General features: G+C 36.2%; 1 protein-coding gene across 32 annotated transcripts in view; it reads left to right on the top strand.

Moving 5' to 3' along the window:
• PLSCR2 (phospholipid scramblase 2) overlaps positions 1–24,037 on the top strand; it is a 104,572-nt gene that overhangs the window by 40,825 nt on the left and 39,710 nt on the right. For 18 of the 32 annotated variants that reach the window (NM_001199979.1, NM_020359.4, XM_024453674.2 and 15 more), the window contains 4 exons: positions 1,004–1,165; positions 5,800–5,961; positions 13,346–13,409; positions 21,650–21,879. The exons of 1 other annotated variant lie outside the window; for it this stretch is intronic. In NM_001199979.1, coding sequence (NP_001186908.1) covers positions 1,004–1,165; positions 5,800–5,961; positions 13,346–13,375 — 354 coding nt within the window. In that variant the 3' untranslated portion in view covers positions 13,376–13,409; positions 21,650–21,879. Of the gene's footprint in view, positions 1–1,003; positions 1,166–5,799; positions 5,962–13,345; positions 13,410–20,811; positions 20,876–21,145; positions 21,603–21,649; positions 21,880–24,037 lie in introns of those variants that run through there. 13 more of the 32 variants (XR_002959563.2, XR_002959564.2, XR_002959561.2 and 10 more) reach the window with 4 other exon arrangements.

The raw sequence follows: 24,037 nt of genomic DNA, 5'->3' as shown, positions 1-24,037 counted from the left end.
TAATCAAATGAAATTTAAATGAATATGGCTCCATGAGCTATATGTTTGGGCTTCCAAATCAATTGTATAAGAAGGAAGGCAAGTAAACAACAGGGAATAGTTAGCCTCGTGTCCCGCAGCAGTCTGCCTCATGGGGTTGAGCAACTGCTCAGAAATGAGAGTTCTTGATATTAAAGGAAAGGTCAGACAGGGCACCTTTTTCAAATCATTTTTTAGAGATGACTGTAAGAGGCATGGTCGAAATCAGCAGAGTTGCACCATTGAAAATATCCTAAAATAGCATTCTAGGATCATGGGGACAAAAGAATGAAGGAAAGAACAGATGTATTCATCTCATAATTTTGGCCAACCTAGTAAGGGACAAACCTAGAACAAAGTCTTATCTCCTTTGTTTTTCATTTCTCCTTTTCAAAATAAAAACGTACATATCTATGTCATCTGCAAAAGGGATATCCTAAATGGATATCTGTAGAGACCAGATGTCTCTGTTTCATATTGCATGGCAGCCTACTCCTAGAAAATATGATTTCAGAGAAGACAGTAGGGTTCAGAGATGTTTTAGGAAAGTTGGCCTTTTCCAGGATCCCATTGGCGCAACACCATATCTGCCTGGGTAACTTAGTCTTCCATACAGATTGCTGTGAGAACATCATACAGATAGAGATAAAGGCATAGAGTTATTTAAAGTCTAATACTGCACTTATTTTGAGAGGATAACTGAAGTTATTTATAATGAATTGCTTTGTTTTCCATGCCATTTAGGTTAGGTATAATTATATATTTGTAAGAATAACTGAGGAAAAACTGACAGTTTGATGGGAAATGCTCTATAATTTGACTAGCACATTAAAATACTTTACCTTATTCAATCTTTAAAAAAAAAGTCCTAGGAAGTCCTCACTTACAATGTCTGGCACTTAGGAAATGCTCAGTAAATTAGAGCTATTATTAGATATTTTTATTATGATGATTTATTACGTTCACACATATTTTACTTTTGTAGATAGAAATCCAAGCTCCTCCTGGTGTACCAGTAGGTTATGTTACTCAGACCTGGCACCCATGTCTAACAAAGTTTACAATTAAAAATCAGAAAAGAGAGGATGTACTAAAAATTAGTGGTCCATGTATCGTGTGCAGCTGTATTGCGGGTGTTGATTTTGAGGTAAGAGATGTCATAATGTTTATAGGATTTGCTTTTTTAATAGAAGAATATAATTTTGCAGAATATTATGAATGCCTTAAATTAGTATTGTGTACTGATGTCTCAATAGCAAGATAATGTTCCCATATATTTAACTTTGGTCAGAGTGGAGGTTATTACTGACTAAAGGTCAATATTGATAATGATAAATGGATAAAAGAGAAGCAGAGCTCTGTAGTCAAATAAAAATAAGCAAATCATCTAACACTTAAACATGTTGGGTTCTGTGTGGTGACACTATATATTATCCATTATAAAGAAAACTTTAACCTTGTCATCTAAGTCTGATTGCCAAAGCATATGGATCCTTCCTTAATCTAAAATATAGGCTGCCAGTGCTCCAGGCCATGTCCAGAAGTTCTGACATCTTTGAGTTCCTACAGAAAGCCCAATTTGGCAAAGATAGTTTTGAGAAAGTCAGTGTAATATGTATTACCCAATTATACTTCTCTGTGGTCTCTTCTTTAACCCTGTATTAAATTAGGTCATTGGAAACCACCATATGTCTCTATATTTAATTCCTGCAGAAATTTCATTACAGCAGTTCTCCAACAGATAGCCTAGCCTTATAATCAAATCATTTAGTTGCAAATGTTTAACCATCAGAAGGTTTTATAACTTAATCTTGATTTCCTGATTCTCTTGGAAAATCAGAAAATTTAGTAAACTGGGCCAACAATTCCACAAAATGAGGAATAAAAATCCTAAAGTTGAGTAGGGCTACCTCACTTATGATAAAATGTGGGAACTCTGACAGTGTCCCCACATCTTCCTAAGGTTTAGCACTATCCAGTTTCATTCTGTTGCATCCTTCCTTCTCTAATAATATGATTTTTAATTTCTCTATTAGAATTTGGTTATATAAAAATGAATGCTTCCCCTTTTCAACTTTATAATCTGATGACAGAGATGGGAAATTCTAAGAAAACACATGTGTTGTAGAGACCTTTAAAATGCTCTTATAAAGGGATACATATATATGTATATGAAATATATGATTATATATGTGTATATAAAATATATGATAATATGCATTGGATATATACACATGTGTGTGGGTATATATGGGTGTGTGGGTATGTGAGTGTGTAATATGTATGTATAGGAACTTTATGTAGGGATATGTATAATAATAGTTTTCTTTTCATGCCCATAAAAATCCAGACAAGTGAAAGATTATTTCTCCTTCTAGGAATGATATTAATAAAAGTCTAATTGGAATATAATTTATTCCTAAGAAATGAGTAAATCACTAAAAAATTGTGAAACATTCTTAATACTAAAAATTTAGATTTCATTCAGTAGCTCTTCAATTCTCTATGTCTGCAGACACCAGATTCTAAGAGTAACTAATAGTCATACGATTAGAGAATGCAGGAAAATAATGCATATAGCAAATTTTATACAAATGCTGAGTTTGTAATTTAAAAATACCTTTTCAGTAACCATTCATAAATTATATGTTTTGAATTATATAGTGCTCCTCTAGTATCTTACACATTATTTTAATATATTCTTTTGATGTTTACCTAGGTTCTATGTGCTAGTGGCCTATTTGCATTTTTTGCATTTATATTTACACTGCAAATAAATATTTAGTTTTTTAGACTATCTTTACCAATTATTAGTATTAAATTTACAGATTTATAAATTTCATGCTAATATAATACACTACAATTCTTTTTTTTTACTCATACTTCTGATACCAAATGTGTGGATATTTTTTCTCCATGTCAACCAATTCTCCTTCTCTACAGACATCAACTGGGTTCCCTACAACTCAGTTCAATTCTGACACTCACTCACCTGTAGATAATGCAGACACCACAGTTTAAGGTCTCAGTCCCACAAAACTGTTCCCAATTTCAAATTCCAACCACAAATGCAAGACCTCCTGTACGTCTAACCAACTAGCTATAAAGCAGGATTCACACAACCTCCTCCATGGGTTTGACAATTTGTTAAAACTACTTACAAAATTTAGGAACATATTTTATTTATGTTTACTGATTTATTATAAAGGATACAGATGGATAGCCAGATGAAGAGGTTAGTAGATGAATTCTGGAAGAGTTCTGAGCAAAGGGGGATCTGTCCCTGTGGAACTGGGGTAAGCCACCTTCATGGCAAGTGAGTTCACCAATCCAGAAAGCCTTTGAACCTGTTGTTTAGAGTTCTTAGGAAGTTGCATTATGTAGGCATGACTGATTTAAACCACTGGCTATTGGTGAATAACTCAAACTCTGGCCTTACTCTCATCTCCGGAGGATGGGGACAGGACTGAATGATTCAATCCTCTAAGCATTGCTTGGTTTTTCTGGTGTCCAGCCTGATACTGAAGCTATCAGGCACCCCAACCACCAACCACCAGTCATCTTAGTATATAAAAGATTTATTGCTTAGAAGAGTCTAAGGATTTTGAAGCTGCGTGCCAGCAATCTGGGACAAAGACCAAATATTAAAACAAGACTCTCCTATTACCCCTATCACTTAGAAAGTTATGAGCATTTTAGAAATTCTGTGTCAGGAAGCAGGGATAAAAACTTAATGTAGGCCGGGCACGGTGGCTTATGTAATCCCAGCACTTTGGGAGGCCGAGGCGGGCGGATCACCTGAAGTCAGGATTTCGAGACCAGCCTGGCCAACATGGTGAAACCCCGTCTCTACTAAAAATACAAAAATTAGCCAGGCGTGGTGGCAGGCGCCTGTAATCCCAGCTACTCGGGAAGCTAAGGCAAGAGAATCCCTTGAACCCGGGAACAGGAGGTTGCAGTGAGCGGAGATCGCGCCGTTGCACTCCAGCCTGGGGGACAAGAGCAAGACTTCGTCTCAAAAAAAAAAAAAAAAAAAAAAAAGAAAACTTAATGTATACTTCTTATGATGTTGTAAATACCAACGTATTATTTCCAGAGGTTGAAGTAATTTTACCATATTTTTTTGTTTTGTTTTTAAAATGTTATATAGAATTTAGCTAAAATTATCTATACTTTATAAATTTTTTTTATAAAAATTATCTAGACTTTATAATGATCTGTATATGCATGTCATTATTTATATTTCTGATCCTCCATTAAAATTTTATTTTCTACTTCTTGCATAAATTTGGTGAATTTTTTAATTTCTTGCTATAGCCATCAAAATGGAGAAATATTTGTTAAGTCTAGTAGTAGGTTTATGGTAGCTAGTAAGTTACCTTCAGCATTTTTTATTTTGTAAATATTTCAAAATTTGAATGATTTTTAAAATAAAAATATAAAGTTCTCATTAATAGTCTCAAATGCTTAGATGATATATGTTCACTCTGGATATGTAGCAGCAGAGGCTACCTAGACGATGCTTTTCTAGTAGCTATTTACCTGAGACCAAGAGTCAGAGCAAACCACTTACCCATATGTAAGATCACTGCCCATGTTACAGCTGCTAATATTCCATTGGTCAAACAAGCCACAAGGCAAAGCCTAATTATGAAGAAATAGGAAAATGCTTCAGACTACAATGGGAGGAAAAATGAAATGAATATTTGATGAAGAATAATCCATAGCAATCACAGTTTTATATTAGACATTTATTTCACTTTTTAAAAAGAACCTTTTCACCAACACTCTAAAATGAATCAAATGTTTTCAGTTTCCCTACATTTATCTAGATGGTCACAACCAGAGGCAATGGCTTCAAAGGGTGTTGCTGACACATGTGACCTGTATATGTAGGTCATTATTTATATTTCTGATCCTGTGTTCAAATTTGAAAATGACATTCCTGACTTGGGTTGACATAACTCTTAACATGTAGTTTGGTGAATGTTAGTTATATTCCGCCACTACCTGCCCATCTGGTGAGGTGTTTTTGTCTGAGCACACACTTTTCAATGCTATATAATGACCCTCAGTTTTCCTCAGCAGAATTTTTACAACCTTTATTTTTTTTCACAAAAATAGAAAAGTTTTACATTGGAGATCTTGTCTACCTATTCTTTTTTTATTCTTCACACCCCACTAGTTAGCTGGTCTTGCCCACACCCTTGACTTGAGGCATCCCATCAAGTTACTTACTGGTTGCTTTTCTTCACTCAAACTGTCAGTCTTCTTTTCTAGGCTCTTAGCATTTTATGTTTTCCTACTGACAGTGGGTGGTAGTGAGGCCTCTCTTCATATTTAAACATTCAGCTGTGTAAACTCCCTGTGCACCTCTAAAAAGCAGAAGTCTAATAGGAGTTTCATTTGTTTCCTTCCTGATGGCTTCTAGAAATTATATCAAAGAAATACTTCAAATTTATATCCTTTTCTGCTTAAATTTTGTTTGGGTTAAATTCAAATAAATAAAACATATATTAATGTCTATCTTAATATAAAGTAGAAAATGTTAAAAATTTCGTAAAACTACTTTTATGTAAGTTTCCTACACAATAGAACAGTTTTTTATGTATCTATAAATATACAGGAGCCTATATGCATCTAATATAACATATTAACTGTATACTCATGTATGGTGCATAAATGTACTATAATATTTCCTTCCTTTTACTCCAGTGTTAAAAGTAATTTTGCTATAAGTTTTCTAGAAATTTTTAAGTTTTTTTTTTTTTTGCAATTTAGATTACATCTCTTGATGAACAAATTGTGGTTGGCAGGATTTCTAAGCACTGGTCTGGGTTTTTAAGAGAGGCATTTACTGATGCTGACAACTTTGGAATCCAATTCCCTAGAGACCTTGATGTTAAAATGAAAGCCGTGATGATTGGTGCCTGTTTCCTCATTGTAAGTCTATTCCTGCTAATCTTGGTGACAGATGGCTTCTCTAGAATCATTCTGAAATACTTCAATAAATTATACATTTTAAGATTACCATTTAAAGTGTAAAGGTTTTATAAAATGTTCTCATTTAATCCCCGCACTGAAATTCTATTTGATTCTGATACTCTGGATTTATAGGTGGTTAGTTTATGTCTGAAGAGTCTACACACTTTCAAATGGCAAGAGAATAACTTTATATGCTAAGGAGAAGCTCTGGTTTGGGGTAGGGTTATTAAAAAATCAAATATGTTATTAGGAGAAAAATGTGAAGCTAGTCTTACATGGAATAAAACTCAGTGAAACACAGAAATTTCATCCTAACTCATTAAATTAAAACATCTAACATGGGATTATAAAGTGCAATAAGAGTATACATTCAATCAAGCCTCTAGAGCTAACTATCAATTTACAGGAAATACATGGGGTAAAGCAGTGATTCTGAATGTATATTTATATTAGAATTATCTAGAAACTTTTTTAAAACCCTCAAGTATCAGGCCATTCCCCACTTCAACTAAACAAGAAGCTCAGAGTCAGAAGTTTGTGTAGTGCCCCAGATGATACGAACATGCAGCCAAAGTTGAGGTTTATGGAAACAGAGAAATGGTCTTCAACCTTAGCTACACAGTAGAAACACCTGGGTAACTTTCAAACTCCTCATGTCCATCCAAATTTATTAAACCAAAATCTCTGGAGTTGGGATGAAGACTTCAAGCTGTTTAAAGCTCCCAGGTGATTCCAATATGCAATCAAGGTTTGACACACCAGATAGAGATCTTAAACATTAATTTGGTGAAATAATCAGAAAACCTTAACAGATAATATACAGCAAAAAGGACCCAGCTGCTTCAACAAGTAAATGCCAATGAAAATAATGGGATAAAGATTAAACAGGGGAAGCTGATGAAGATGGCTGAATAGAAGGCTCTGAGAATTATCCCCATTGCAGGAATTCCAAATTGAACAACTGTCCACACAACAGAAAGCAATTTCATAAGAACTGAAAATCAGTCAAATGATCATTGTACCTAGTTTAAAGATCACATTAAAAAAAGAGGCACTGAGGAGGGTAGGAAAGACAGTCTTGAATCACCTAAATCACTCCTCCCCCATACCCGGCAGTGGCTTTCTGGTGGAGAGAGAAAATCTGTGTGGTTGGGGGAGGGAGAACACAGTGATTGTGGGACTTTGCATTGGAACTCTGTGCTTCCCTGTCATAACAGAAAGTAACAAGTGGCATGGCACTCATGGAGACAGCATATAAACCAGCCTTAGCCAGAGGGGCATTGCCCATCCCAGCATTCAGAACCTGAGTTCTGACAAACCTCGCTACCATGAGCTAAAGTGCTCTGGGGTTCTAAATAAACTTGAAAGGCACTCTAAGCCACAAGGACCACAATTCCAGGGCAACTCCCGGTGCTGTGCTGGACATGGAGCCTCTGGACTTATGGGTATATATAACCTAGTGAGACACCAGCCAGGGCAGCCCAAGGAGTGCTTGCATCACCCCTTCCCCAACTCCAGGCAGCACAGCTTGCAGCTCCAGTAGAGACTCCTTCCATCTTCATGAGGAGAGAGTAAAGAGGTCTTTTTCTTGCAACTTGTATACCACCCCCCTACAGTAGAATAGGACACTAAACAGAGTCCTGAGGCCCCCATTCGAGGCCCTAGCACCCAGACAATGTTTCTAAAGACACTGCTGGCCAGAAGGGAACCTGCTGCCTTGAAGAGAAGGACCCAGTCCTGCTAGGATTTATCACCTGCTGACTAAAGAGCCCTTGGGTCCTAATGTCTGTCCTATTGATAGCCAGGCAGTACTTGCCATGGGCATTAGGGGAAACTCTTGAGACATGCTTGCTTCAGGTGTGGCCCAGCACATTCCCAGCTGTGGCAGATATGGGGAGATAACCCTCCTACTTGAGGAAAGGAGAGGGAAGAGGAGAGAAGATTTTGTCTTGCAGCTTGTATACCAGCTTGGCCACAGTGGGAGAGAACATCAAGTGGGCTCTAGAGTCCATGTTCCAGGCCGTGGCTCCTGGATGGCATTTATGGACCTGTGCTGGGCCAGGGGGGAGCCCGCTGCCATGAAGGGAGATATTCAGGACTGGCATAATTCACCACAAGCTGACCGAAGAGCACTTGGGCCTTGAGTGAACATCAGTGAACATAAGTATAAGCTAGGTAATATTTAACATCAATGGTAGCTAAACAGTATGTATTATGGGCCTGGGGTGGTGGTGGCCAATGAGAAAGACACTTTTTCTTAAGGAAGTGGAAGAAAAGCATGGGAAGATTTTTTCCTTGCAACTTGGGTTCTAGCTCAGCCACAGAATAGAGCAGCAAGTAGATTCCTAAGGTTCCCAACTCTGGGCCCAGGCTCCTGGACAGTATCTCTGGACCTACCCAGGACCATGAGGGAACTTGATGCCCTGAAAGGAAGGATACAATCCTGACTGGATTTGACACTTGCCAATAGTAGAGCTCTTGGGACTTGAGTGAACATAGGTGGTAGCCAGATAGTGGTCATTGCAGGACTTAGACAAATCCAGTGCTGTGCTGGCTTTGAGTCTGACCCAGTTCAGTTCTAGTGGTGGTGGTCACATGGGTTTTTGTGTCACCCTTCCCCCAGATCTAGGCAGCTCAGCACAGAGACGCTCCTTGTTGGGGGAAAGTCAGGGAAGAAAACAAGAGTCTGCCTGGTATTGCAGGGAATGCTTCTGGATTTTACCCAAGACTGCCAAGGGATTACCACTATGAGTCTCCAAGAGCCACAGCATTACTAGGCTTGGGGTATCCACTAAAGTATATGTGGCTGCAGTAACCAAAAACTTAGATCAAAACACCCAAGTTCTTTTGAATACCTGGAAAGCCTTCCCAAGAAGGACAGGTACAAACAAGCCCAGACTGCAAAGACTGCAATAAACACCTAACTCTTCAGTGCCCAAACATGAATTAACATCCACAAACATCAAGACCATCCAGGAAAACATGACCTCACCAAATGAACTAAATAAGGCACCAGGGACCAATCACAGGGAGGCAGAGATATGTGAACTTATGGACAGAGAATTCAAAATAGTTGTTTTGAGAACACTCAACAAAATATAAGTTAACACAGAGGGGGAATTCAGAATCCTATCCGATAACTTTAACAGATAGATTGAAATAGCTAAAAAGAAACAAGCAGAAATTCTGGAGTTGAATAATGCAATTGATGTAATGAAGAATGCATCAGAGTCTCTAAACAGTAGAGCTGATGGAGCAGAATAAATAATGAGTGGGCTTAAAGACAGGATATTTGAAAATAGACAGAGGAGACAAAAATAAAAAATAAAAAACAATGAAGCTTGCCTGCAAGATCCAGAAAACAGCCTCAAAACGGCAAATCTAAGAGTTATTTGTCCTAAAGAGGAGGTAGAGAAAGAGACAAGGGTAGAAAGTTTATTCAAGGGGATAATAACAGAGAACTTTTCAAACCTGGAGAAAGATATAAATATTCAAATACAAGAAGGTTATAGAACTCCAAGCATATTTAACCCAAAGAAAACTACCTGAAGGCATTTTGTATTCAAACTCCCAAATGTTAATGATAAAGAAAGGATCCTAAAAGCAGCAAGAGAAAAAAAAATAACATAAAAGCAAGATCCAATACATCTGGCAGCAGACTTCTCAGGTCAGAAGAGAGTGGCTTGGCATATTTAAAGTGCTGAAGGAAAAAAAACGTTGATCATAGAATAGTATATCCAACAAAATTATCTTTTGAACATGAAGGAGAAATACAGATTTTCCAGGCAAACAAAAGCTGAGGAATTTCATTAATACCAGACCTGTCCTACAAGAAATACTAAAGGAAGTTCTTCAATCTGAAAGCAGATGTTAATGAGCAACAAGAAATCACCTGAAGGTGCAAAACTCACTGGTAATAGTAAGTACACAGATAAACACAGAATATTATAACACTGTGATTGTAGTGTGCAAACTACTCATATGCTAAGTAGAAAGACTAGAAGATGAGCCTATTAAAAATAAAAACTGCAACAACTCTTAAAGACATAGTATAATAACATATAAATAGAAACAACAACAAATTTAAAAATGGGACAATGAAATTAAAGTGTAGATTTTTTATTACTTTTCTCTTTGTTTGTTCATGCAATCAGTGTTAAGTTTCCATGAGTTTAAAATAGTGGGTTGTAGGATATTATCTGCCAGCCTCAGAGTAATCTTAAATCAAAAACGTAGAAAAGATACATACAGAATCAAAAGCAAGAAATTAAAACACTCCACCAGAGAAAATCCCTTTCTCTAAAAGGATGACAGGAAGGAAGGAAAGAAGGAAGAGAAGATCACAAAAATAACCAGAAAACAAAATAACAAAACGATAGGAGTAAGTCCTTACTTATCAATAATGGCATTGAATATAAATGGACTAAACTCTCTAATCAAAAGACATAGAATGATTGCATGGAAAAAAACAAACAAGACGCAACCTACCTGTTGCCCTCAAGAAACACACTTCACCTCTAAAGACACGCATAGACTGAAAATAAAAAGATGGAAAAAAATTCCAGGAAAATGAAGAGCAGGAGTAGCTATACTTACACTAGACAATATATATTTCAAGGCAAAAACTGTAAAAAGAGACAACAAAGTCATTATGTAATGATACAGGGGTCAATTTTGCAAGAAGATGTAACAATTGTAAATATATATGCACCCAATACTGGAGCACCGAGATATAGAAAGCAAATATTATTAGAGGTAAAGGGAGAAATAGACCCCAATACAATAACAGCTGGAGACTTCAACACCCTACTTTTCAGCATTGGACAGATCTTCCAGACAGAAAATCAACAAAAAAACATCAAATTGAATCTGCACTATAAACCAAATGGACCCAATAGATATTTTCAGAACAGTTAATCCAACGTTTATAGAATACACATTCATCTCATTAGCATATGGCTCATTCTCAAGGATAAACTATATGTTAGGCCACAAAAAAAGCCTTAAAGATTCTTTAAAAATATGAAATTATATTAAATATCTCCTCTGACCACAATGGAATAAAACTAGAAATCAATAACAAGAGGAACTTTGGAAACTATAAAAACACATGGAAATTAAACAATATGCTCCTAAATTACCAGTGGGTAAATGAAGAAACCAAGAAGGAAATTAACAGGTTAATTGAAACAAATGGTAATGGAAACAGAACATACCAAAAGCCATGGGATACAGCAAAAGCAGTACTAAGAAGAAAGTTTATAGCAATAAGCCCCCATATCAAAAAAGTAGAAAAAGTTCAAATAAATAACCTAACAATGAATCTTAAAGTGTTAGAAAAACAAGAGCAAATTGAACTCAAAATTAGTTGAAGAAAAGAAATAATAAAGTTCAGAGCAAAAATAAATAAATAAAATTGAAATAAAAAAACACAAAAAGATCAACAAGTAAAAATTGGTTTTTTGGAAAGATAAGCCAAATCAACAAATCTTTAGCCTGACCAACTAAGAAAACAGAGAGAAGACCCAAATAAATAACATCAGAGATGAAAAAGGAGACGCTTTAATTGATACTGCAGAAATTCAAAGGATCGTTAAAGACTACTGTCAGCAACTGTATGCCAATAAGTTGGAAAACCTAAAACAAATGGATAAATTTCTAGACACATATTGTCTACCGAGACTGAACCATGAAAAAATCTAAAACCTGAACAGTCAATAAGTAATAAGATCAAAGCCATAATAAAAAGTCTCCCAGCAAAGAAAAGCCCAAGACCCAATGGCTTCAGTGCTGAATTTTACCAAACATTTAAAGAATGAATACCAATCCTACTCAAGCTACTGAAAAATAGAGGGGGGAGGAATACGTGCAAACTTATTCTATGAGGCCAGTATTTCTCTGATACCAAAACCAAACAAAGACATATTTAAAAAAGAAAACTACAGGTTAATATGCCTGATGAACATTGATCCAAAAATCCTTAACAAAATACTAGCAAGTCAAAATCAACAATACATCAAAAAGATAATTCATCATGAGTGAGTGGGATTTATCACAGAGAAGCAAAAAGGGTTCAACATACGTTTTGGATATAGCCACTTATCAGATACATGGTTTGCAAATATTTTCCCCCAATCCATGGGCTGTCTCCTTACTGTGTTTATTGCTTCCTTTGCTGTGCAAAAGCTTGTTAACTTGAGGCAATTCCCTTTGTCTCTTTTTGCTTTTGCTGTCTGTGCTTTTTAGGTCATATCCAAGAAATCATTTCTCAAACCAATATCATGGAGATTTCCCCTATATTTTCTTCTAGTCGTTTTACAGTATAGGTTTTACATTTAAGTCTTTAATCCATTTTAATTTTACTTTTGTATATGGTGTGAAATGAGGGTCAAAATCCATTCTTCTGTATATATATTTGGTCTTCAAAACACCATTATTTAAGGGTACTGTCCTTTCCTCATTGTGTGGTGGTGGTACCTTTGTCAAAAATCAATTGATTACAAATGTTTGGGTTTATTTCTGTGCTTTCCTTCCTGTTTCATTGGTCATTGTGTCTCTTTCTATGCAAGTACGAAGCTGTTTTGATTACTATATCTTTGTAATATATTTTGAAATAAGGTAGTATGATGCCTCCAGCTTTGTTTCTCTTGCTAAAGATTGTTTGGCTATTTGGGGTCTTTTGTGATTCCATACAAATTTTATGATTATTTTTTCTATATCTGTGAAAAATTCACTGGTATTTTGAGAGAGATGACATTGAATCTGTAGTTCCCTTTCAGTAGTATGGACATCTTGGCAATATTAATTATTCTAATCCAGAAACACAGAATATCTTTCCATTTATTTGTGCCTTTTTCAGTTTGTCTTACAGTTTTCAGTATACAGAATGTTTGCCTTTTTGGTTAAATGTATTCCTTAGTATTTAATATTTTTCGATGCTGCTGTAAATGGAATTGTTTTCTTAATTTGTTGTACATGGAATGAATTCAAATTACAAGAAGAGTTATATTACTAGAGAAGGACTGCAAAACATTAAATAAGAAAGATTGAAAAAGGATGATTTCAGGAGGATAAAAGTGACATTTACAGAAATTGCCATAGGATTAATTAAATTAATGCAGGTGTCAATAAATAAATAGGATTATAGGATTTAATTTCTATTAAAATAGATAGCTGAAGGTAGAGAACTTATACCTGTAGACTTTTCTCACATTACTTATTATAGTTAATTTTTCTTATTTAACAGACAATTAACTGTGTTTCATCAGATCCCTTAGCATTTCTGCATCTGATCTCTGTTTGGTTTCTGAGAATTCATTTCTGTATTTTTGTTTTTATCCAGGACTACATGTTTTTTGAAAGAACTAGGTAATGACTGGAATGTCAGAGTGTGGGAGTGGATTAATGTAAGTCTCCTCAGAAAATTTGAAGTCTGTGTTGATTAGGATTATCTAAAAGAAAAATTCAGTGTTTTTTTCTTTTCTTTATTTAAATTACTTACACCTGTGTGAGTTAAGCTATGATGCTTGTAGCTCTGAGTATATAATTTCACTTTTCAAATTCTAATATTTATTTTATTTATAACTGGGTTATAAATGTTTTATATACTTTATTAGATTATTCATTGTATATATGGGGAAAAGAATATAGGAATTTTTAAATTTAGATACAAAACTTCCTTTGAAAGACTACTTGAATTATAGTCTGGGTTTCCATTTTATAAGCAAAAATTAAAGCCTTATTAAAGGAGTCTTAATGTATCATTATATTTTATTTTTTAAAGCTAGTTATAATTTATTTTATGTAAAAATTAATATGCAAATACTGTGTACTCAGAAAACAACTTAAAAATTGACACAATTTCAGTTTCTTTTACCATGCTAAATATTTAATATGCATATTCTCAAGCAAAAGTAAATGTGATTTTTTTTTGTTTTTGAGATGGAGTCTAGCTCTGTCACCCAGGCTGGAGTATTTTTTAATCTTCAGAAAAGCACACTATATTTACCTTCTCCTATCAGCTAACCTAGTACTATAAATAAGGTTTTCGTAATGACTACATGATAAATTAGCAATTTTTTATGGTTTTCAGTAAATAAAGAAAGACATGACTGTGTGAGTCTATCCAAAAGACAGACTCATTCTAAAATTTGGTATTGTTATCACTTTTGAAGTTGTTTATTACCACATGGAATGGTTAGCTCCTGTATTCTATCATTCCCAGAATATGTTAGTTACAAGATTAATCAGGTGTAAATGAAATAAAAAATATGTGTATCTTTACAAAGCATACTTCATTAGTGGTCTTAGGTTATTTTATGCCAAAAATCAAATTCCTAAAGTAAAATTTATTGATATAGTTTTTGAATATTTTATTTTTGTTATAAAAAAAACTGGATAACACATTCAGGTGGCATTATGATCCTACACGTTTACCTCCTTTAAAATCACCTTTAAGGAGGAGGTTCCAAGATGGCCGAATAGGAACAGCTGCAGTCTACAGCTCCCAGCATGAGCAACCCAGAAGATGGATGATTTCAGCTTTTCCAACTGAGAAAATGGCACACCAGGAGATTACATCCCACACCTGTCTCAGAGGGTCCCATGCCCATGGAGCCTCGCTCGCTGCTAGCACAGCAGTCTGAGATCAAACTGCAAGGTGGCAGCGAGGCTGGGGAAGGGGCGTCTGCCATTGCTGAGGCTTGAGTAGGTAAACAAAGCAGCCAAGAAGCTCAAACTGGGTGGAGCCCACTGCAGCTCAAGGAGCCCCATCTGCCTCTGTAGACTCCACCTCTGGAAGCAGGGAATAGCTGAAGAAAAGGCAGCAGAAACTTTTGTGGACTTAAATGTCCCTGTCTGACAGCTTTGAAGAGAGTAGTTTTTCTCCCAGCACAGAGTTTGAGATCTGAGAATGGACAGACTGCCTCCTCAAGTAGGTCCCTGACCCCTGCGTAGCCCAACTGGGAGGCATCTCCCAGTAGGGGCCAATTGACACCTCATATAGCCAGGGACCCCTCTGAGAAGAAGCTTCCAGAGGAAGGATCAGGCAGCAACATTTGCCGTTCTGCAATATTTGCTGTTCTGCAGCCTCCACTGGTGATACCCAGGCAAACAGGGTCTGGAGTGGACTTCAAGCAAACTCCAACAGACCTGCAGGTAAAGGTCCTGACTGTTAGAAGGAAAACTAACAAACAGAAAGGACATCCACACCAAAACCCCATCTGTACGTCACCATCATCAAAGACCAAGGGTAGATAAAACCACAAAGACGGGAAGAAACCAGAGCAGAAAAGCTGAAAATTCTAGAAATCAGAGGGCCTCTTCTCCTCCAAAGGAATGCAGCTCCTCGCCAGCAATGGAACAAAGCTGGACGGGGAATGACTTTGACGAGTTGAGAGAAGAAGGCTTCAGATAATCGGTAATAACAAACTCCGAGCTAAAGGAGGATGTTCAAACCCATCACAAAGAAGCTAAAAACCTTGAAAATAGATTAGATGAATGGCTAACTAGAATAAACAGCATAAAGAAGACCTTACATAACCTGATAGAGTTGAAAACCATGGCACAAGAACTACGTGATGCATGCACACAGTACCCAATTTGATCAAGTGGAAGAAAGGGTATCAGTGATTGAAGATCAAATGAATGAAATGAAGAGAGAAGAGAAGTTTAGAGAAAAAGAGCAAAAAGAAATGAAAAAAGCCTCCAAGAAATATGGGGCTATGTGAAAAGACCAAATCCACGTCTGATTGGTGTACCTGAAAGTGACGGGGAGAATGGAACCAAGTTGGAAAACACACTTCAGGATATTATCCAGGAGAACTTCCCCAACCTAGCAAGGCAGGCCAGCATTCAAATTCAGGAAATACAGAGAATGCCACAAAGATACTCCTCGAGAGGAGCAACTCCAAGACACATAGTTGTCAGATTCACCAAAGTTGAAATGAAGGAAAAAATGTTAAGGGCAGCCAGAGAGAAAGGTCAGGTTACCCACAAAGGGAAGCCCATCAGACTAACAGCAGATCTCTCGGCAGAAACTCTACAAGCCAGAAGAGAGTGGGGGCCAATATTCAACATTCTTAAAGAAAAGAATTTTCAACCCAGTATTTCATATCCAGCCAAATTAAGCTTCATAAGTGAAGTAGAAATAAAATACTTTACAGACAAGAAAATGCTGAGAGATTTTGTCACCACCAGGCCTGCCTTACAAGAGCTCCTGAAGGAAGCACTAAACATTGAAAGGAACAACCGGTACCAGCCACTGCAAAAACATGCCAAATTATAAAGACCATTGATACTAGGAAGAAACTGCATCAACTAATGAGCAAAATAACCAGCTAACATCATAATGACAGGTTCAAATTCACACATAACAATATTAACCTTAAATGTAAATGGGCTAAATGCTCCAATTAAAAGACACAGACTGGCAAATTGGATAAAGAGTCAAGACCCATCAGTGTGCTGTATTCAGGAGACCCATCTCACATACAGAGACACACATAGGCTCAAAATAAAGGGATGCAGGAAGATCTACCAAGCAAATGGAAAACAAAAAAAAGCAGGGTTTGCAATCCTAGACTCTGATAAAACAGACTTTAAACCAACAAAGATCAAAAGAGACAAAGAAGGCCATTACATAATGGTAAAGGGATCCATTCAACAAGAAGAGCTAACTATCCTAAATATATATGCATCCAATACAGGAGAATCCAGATTCATAAAGCAAGTCCTTAGAGACCTACAAAGAGACTTAGACTCCCACACAATAATAATGGGAGACTTTAACACCCCACTGTCAACATTAGACAGATCAAGGAGACAGAAAGTTAACAAAGATGTCCAGGAATTGAACTCAGCTCTGCACCAAGCAGACCTGATAGACATCTACAGAACTCTCCACCCCAGATCAACAGAATATACTTTCTTCTGAGCACCACATCACACTTATTCCAAAATTGACCACATAGTTGGAAGTAAAGCACTCCTCAGCAAATGTAAAAGAACAGAAATTATAAAAAACTGTCTCTCAGACCACAGTGCAATCAAACTAGAACTAAGGATTAAGAAACTCACTCAAAACTGCTCAATTACATGGAAACTGGACAACCTGCTCCTGAATGACTACTGGGTACATAACGAAATGAAGGCAGAAATAAAGATGTTCTTTGAAACCAATGAGAACAAAGACAAAACATACTAGAATCTCTGGGACACATTTAATGCAGTGGGTAGAGGGAAATTTATAGCACTAAATGCCCACAAGAGAAAGCAGGAAAGATCTAAAATTGACACCCTAACATCACAATTAAAAGAACTAGAGAAGCAAAAGCAAACACATTCAAAAGCTAACAGAAGGCAAGAAATAACTAAGATCAGAGCAGAAGTGAAGGAGATAGAGACACAAAAAACCCTTCAAAAAAATTAATGAATCCAGGAGGTGGATTTTTGAAAAAATCAACAAAATTGATAGATGACTACCAAGACTAATAAAGAAGAAAAGAGAGAAGAATCAAATAGATGCAATAAAAAATGATAAAGGGGATATCACCACTGATCCCACAGAAATACAAACTACCATCAGAGAATACTATAAACACCTCTATGCAAATAAACTAGAAAATCTACAAGAAATGGATAAATTCCTGGACACATACACCCTCCTAAGACTAAACCAGGAAGAAGTTGAATCCCTGAATAGACCAATAACAGGTTCTGAAATTGAAGCAATAATTAATAGCCTACCAACCAAAAAAAGTCCAGGACCAGATTCACAGCCAAATTCTACCAGACGTACAAAGAGGAGCTGGTACCATTCCTTTAGAAACTATTGCAATCAATAGAAAAAGAGGGAATCCTCCCTAACCCATTTTATGAGGCCAGCATCATCCTGATACCAAAGCCTGGCAGAGACACAACAAAAAAAGAGAATTTTAGACCAATATCCCTGATGAACATCAGTGCAAAAATCCTCAATGAAATACTGGCAAACCAAATCCAGCAGCACATCAAAAAGTTTATCCACCATGATCTAGTGGGCTTCATTCCTGGGATACAAGGCTGGTTCAACATAACACAAATCAATAAACGTAATCCATCATATAAACAGAACCAAAGACAAAAAACACATGATTATCTCAATAGATACAGAAAAGGCCTTTGACAAAATTCAACAGTGCTTCATGCTAAAAAGTCTCAATAAACTAGATATTGATGGGATGTATCTCAAAATAATGAGAGCTATTTATCACAAACCCACAGCCAATATCATACTGAATGGGCAAAAACTGGAAGCATTCCCTTTGAAAACTGGCACAAGACAAGGATGCCCTCTCTCACCACTCCTATTCAATATAGTGTTGGGAGTTCTGGCCAGGGCAATCAGGCAAGAGAAAGAAATAAAGAGTATTCCATTAGGAAAAGAGGAAGTCAAATTGTCCCTGTTTGCAATTGACATGATTGTATCTTTAGAAAACCCCATCATCTCAGCCCAAAATCCCCTTAAGCTGATAAGCAACTTCAGCAAAGTCTCAGGATACAAAATCAATGTGCAAAAATCACAAGCATTCCTATACACCAATAACAGACAAACAGAGAGCCAAATCATGAGTGAACTCCCATTCACAATTGCTTCAAAGAGAATAAAATACCTGGGAATCCAACTTACAAGAGATGTGAAGGACCTCTTCAAGGAGAACTACAAACCACTTCTCAACGAAATAAAAGAGGACACAAACAAATGGAAGAACATTTCATGCTCATGGACAGGAAGAATCAGTATCATGAAAATGGCCATCCTGCCCAAGGTAATTTATAGATTCAATGCCATCCCCATCAAGCTACCAATGAACTTTCTTCACAGAATTGGAAAAAACTACTTTAAAGTTCATATGGAACCAAAAAAGAGCCCACATTGCCAAGACAATCCTAAGCAAAAAGAACAAAGCTGGAGGTATCATGCTACCTGACTTGAAACTATACTACAAGGCTACAGTAACCAAAACAGCATGGTACTGGTACCAAAACAGAGATATAGACCAATGGAACAGAACAGAGCCCTCAGAAATAATACCACACATGTACAACCATCTGATCTTTGACAAACCTGACAAAAACAAGAAATGGGGAAAGGATTCCCTATTAAATAAATGGTGCTGGAAATACTGGCTAGCCATATGTAGAAAGCTGAAACTGCATCCCTTCCTTACACCTTATACAGAAATTAATTCAAGATGGATTAAAGATTTAAATGTTAGACCTAAAACCGTAAAAACCCTAGGAGAAAACCTAGGCAATACCATTCAGGACATAGGCATGGGCAAGTACTTCATGACTAAAACACCAAAAGCAATGGCAACAAAAGCCAAAATTGACAAATGGGATCTAATTAAACTAAAGAGCTTCTGCACAGCAAAAGAAACTACCATCAGAGTGAACAGGCAACCTACAAAATGGGAGAAAATTTTTACAATCTACCCATCTGACAAAAGGCTAATGTCCAGAATCTACAAAGAACTTAAACAAATTTACAAGAAAAAATCAAACAATCCCATCAAAAAGTGGGCGAAGGATATGAACAGACACTTCTCAAAAGAAGACATTTATGCAGCCAACAGACACACGAAAAAATGCTCATCATCTCTGGCCATCAGAGAAATGCAAATCAAAACCACAATGAGATACCATCTCACACCAGTTAGAATGGCAGTCATTAAAAAGTCAGGAAACAACAGATGCTGGAGAGGATGTAGAGAAATAGGAACAGTTTTACACTGTTGGTGGGACTGTAAACTAGTTCAACCATTGTGGAAGACAGTGTGGCAATTCCTCAAGGATCTAGAACTAGAAATACCATTTGACCCAGCCATCCCATTACTGGGTATATACCCAAAGGATTATAAATCATGCTGCTATAAAGACACATGCACACATATGTTTATTGTGGCACTATTCATAATAGCAAAGACTTGGAACCAACCCAAATATCCATCAATGATAGACTGGATTAAGAAAATGTGGCACATATACACCATGGAATACTATGCAGCCATAAAAAATGATGAGTTCATGTCCTTTGTAGGGACATGGATGAAGCTGGAAACCATCATTCTGAGTAAACTATAGCAAGGACAGAAAACCAAACACCACATGTTCTCACTCATAGGTGGGAATTGAATAATGAGAACACTTGGACACAGGATGGGGAACATCACACACCAGGGCCTGTCATGGGGTGGGGGGAGGGGGGAGGGATAGCATTAGGGGATGTACCTAATGTAAATGACAAGTTAATGGGTGCAGCACACCAACATGGCTCATGTATACATATGTAACAAACCTGCACATTGTGCACATGTACCCTAGAACTTAAAGTATAATAATAAAAGTAAATAAATAAATAAAATCACCTTTAAAAAGAGCACAGCAAAAGAAAAATTGAATAACTAAATCACTATTGGAAATAAAACAAAGTGAAATGACTTTCTTGTAAAAATAAATAAAATCATTTGTTTCCATTTGTTCTTAATTTTTAGGGATTGAATTTTCTCTTCTAATTTTATTTTTGTATATATTAAGGATCTATAAATTTTCAGGGCAAAATTATATCATATATATATAAAAGTCTACATAAGTACATAGAGATGTTTTCATTCCTTTTACTAGTTGCATAGTATGTCATTAAGTGGCTATGTCATGGTTTCTTCAAACAATTCCCTACAATTGGACTTTCATTTTCCTTGAAATTTTGTACGATTCCAAGTAAGCTTTCATGAATAAATAGGCATACATATTTTATATTTTTCCTAGTGCATATTTAGAAGTGATTTGAAAAGTGGAATACCTGTTCAAATTATCCTTCATAGAATTTATTTATCTATGAATTCCCATCAGCAATTTAGAACAGTGTTCAGTTGCCCAGAGCCATTCAGGTATATATTATTATATTTTTGTGTGGTTTCCAATACAGTGAGATATGTTATCCTGACATAGTTAAATGTTTTATTATCTCATTTTTAATAACGTTCAGCATTAAAAAAGAAAGGGAAGACATATAATATTTTGTAGTAAAAACTGTACCAGTGTTAGAAACTAGGATTTCCAGCTGTCAGAAACTTAAAGGCATTTGTAATTTGTTTTGTAGGGAAGATTGAATTGAGAGAGGGGACAGCCAACCCACAATTTACTTCATGCAAAGAAAAGTATGCTTAGGAAATAAGGGTATCCCTTTCAGCTTCAGCAAACTCCTCCAACAGCCACTCTCCCCATAAGTGTTACCACCAGCAGAACTCTACCAAAGCCAATAACCCCAAATGGCAAATGATGGATGAGAACATTGGTATAGCAGTGGAGCTACAGAAAAAGCAATGTCTAGATGACCTCCCAGCAGCCTAAATAATTCATCAGATGCCAGATTCCAAGGATGAAGGGTACCCAGGGCACTCATCTCTAGCATATGCTTAGTACAGACAGTATGCCAAGTCAAGTGGAGGTATTTGTATGTGGCTTTAGTTGTGCCAATTAGAGAAGGGGAGGGCTTGCAAATATGGCAGTCAGATGCAAAACCAACCCAAAATGAGGATTAGAGGTACTGACATTATCTCTTTTACAACCATGTCTTACTTTCCTTTCTTCTCTCTCTGCATAGGATTCCGGATCTTTGGCTAGGCAAAATGAAACTATAACTGATCTAAACGGTTCCTTCCTTCTTCTACTGTGCAAGGAAGATGTAAGGAAAAACTCGCACACTATCTGTGGAACTCATTTAAATTCAAATACTAGATAAACATTTCGCATTGAATATTTACATGGAGAAAAATCATCAAACATCAACAATTATCAAGTTAATTAATAAAAATACTAGGTATTGCAAAAAAGGCTTAATTTGAATTTTAGTGAGATTTGAGAGAATGGTGTGTATTTGTTTCTGAAACAGGCATACAGAAAAAAGAACATTCTGATGTGCCAAATTTTAATAAAATTGAAAAATATGATGACCCTATTTTAAAGTATGATGGAGGCACCAGAACAACAGATTGCATAAAATAGATAGCTAACACAATAAATTAAAAAATAGGTTTTGGAAGTTCTCCCAGAAGTAAGATTAAACACTGAATATAAAGAAAAAAGTTAAGACCTAGCAAACAAATATGTCAATTTCAATTCATGCACAATAAGAATTCCAGAAGGAGAAATCAGTTGGAGGCAAGAAAATATATTTTAATGTAAAAAAAATTTATTTGCAATCAAGACATACTATAGTCTTTAAATTAATGGATTTACCATAAAGCAGACAAAAATGAATGAAAATGACATACTTATGATTATTTTTCAAAAAACATTATTACATGGCTAGTATATGGAAGACTTTTTAGGTAGTAATAGAATAGTTTCTGTGGCTTAACTTCCATGATATACCCACATTCTAGTTTATTATATTTTCTACCTCACCAGCAGCATTTAATCAAATTTAGCACACTTTAATAGCAGGCATTTAAAAGAACCAAAGGATTTAGAACAAAAAGGTAGATTCTATAAAAGTATTTTTGTCCTTGCCCTCCTTTTTGCCATACCTGCCTTTGAGTAGAGACCTTACCACTGCAGGAATTTTTTCCTTCAGCATGATGTGACTTATACAGATATGGTGTCTTAGGCTCATTCCTAACAGTGGCTCACTTTGCCCATCTTTCTTACTTTGAAAAAGCAAAGGAACTGTATCACATCTCAGGCCACCATTTTGCCCACCAAGTCCTAAATCTTGGTTTCTAGATACTATTTTCCACTCAAATCAACTGGGCTTGTTTTGAGAATGGTTGATCCCAGGATTTTGGTAGGGAAAGGTGTAAGATAAGCTTTGTACAACTTGTGGAAACTCAAGGAGGTGCTCAAGTAATGATGCTGACATGGCAAAAGGATAAAGGAAGGAACTTGAAAGGGTTCTCCCCAACAAAATTAAGGATATTATTACTTCCTGAATAAAATTGGACACGGTAAGTTCATACAGATATTCTTATAAGTAAATAAATTAATTAAAGGTTTGATGAAGACCATGATATACACAGTTTCAATTTATTTTCCCTCAAATTATTTTAATTTCAGAGGGAAAATGAGTAACATTTTAGAGAATGTCTAGCAGCCAACTCCATTAAAGAAAATTTAAAGTAAAATAATTAAAATAAACATCATCAGTAATGGGATAAAAGAAAATCAAGTACCACCTAATAGGATGCACTAAGACACAGCATCACATAGATCTTGATGTGTACAGGAAAGAAGATAATAAAGTCTTTTTTTTTTTTTTAATGCTTGATGAGCTTGCCTGTCCTTGTGGTAAACCTTTTGGCCTGTGAATTGTGTTTACGCAGTTCATAGCTTGGCTTAGTTTCAAGTATGTTGTATAGTTACCTTTGTTGCACCCCAGTCTTCGTATTCTTTTAGTGATAACTTTTGTTCAAGATGTAGGCTACTTTGCCAGAGGGTTTTACCACATGTTTGCTCCTTGGAGATAATCTGTATCTTGTGGTATTCTTACCTGTAATTCACTGTTCTTTCCACTCAATTATTGTTAGTTAGTTAGTGGTGGGAGATGGGGAACAGAATATTCCCTGATGTTTTGGTTTAAGCCTCCCTCTTAAGCAGGCACACTCCAACTCAATGTAATCCTGAAGTCAGAAACTGTAGGGTCTTGGCCAACTTGCTGCTTTAATCATGTCATCATGCAGCAAGCATTCACTAAGAGGCCAGTGCTGGCTAAAAATCTGAGTTGTGTCTGGGTATGTTTATGTGAAGGGAGTTGTGGGATGGAGAAGAGTGAGTTGATAAAACTTTCAGGCAAAAGATAATGAACAAGAAGACAGATCTAATGATTTTGGATAGAAACATACTAGAATAAAAAAGTTCTGAGAAAGTTCCTTTTCATGGCCCCTTGCCTTAAGTGGCTTAGTGAGGGGAAACTGCTTAGAGTATTGTCTCTACTATTATCCTAGGACAGAAAGTGTCTCCTTTACACAGCCCTTCCTTCTCTAACCCTTCTTTG

Source organism: Homo sapiens, chromosome 3 (assembly GCF_000001405.40).
Source record: "Homo sapiens chromosome 3, GRCh38.p14 Primary Assembly".
Taxonomy (NCBI): Eukaryota; Metazoa; Chordata; class Mammalia; order Primates; family Hominidae; genus Homo; species Homo sapiens.
This window is presented reverse-complemented; position numbering and strand designations above follow the sequence as displayed.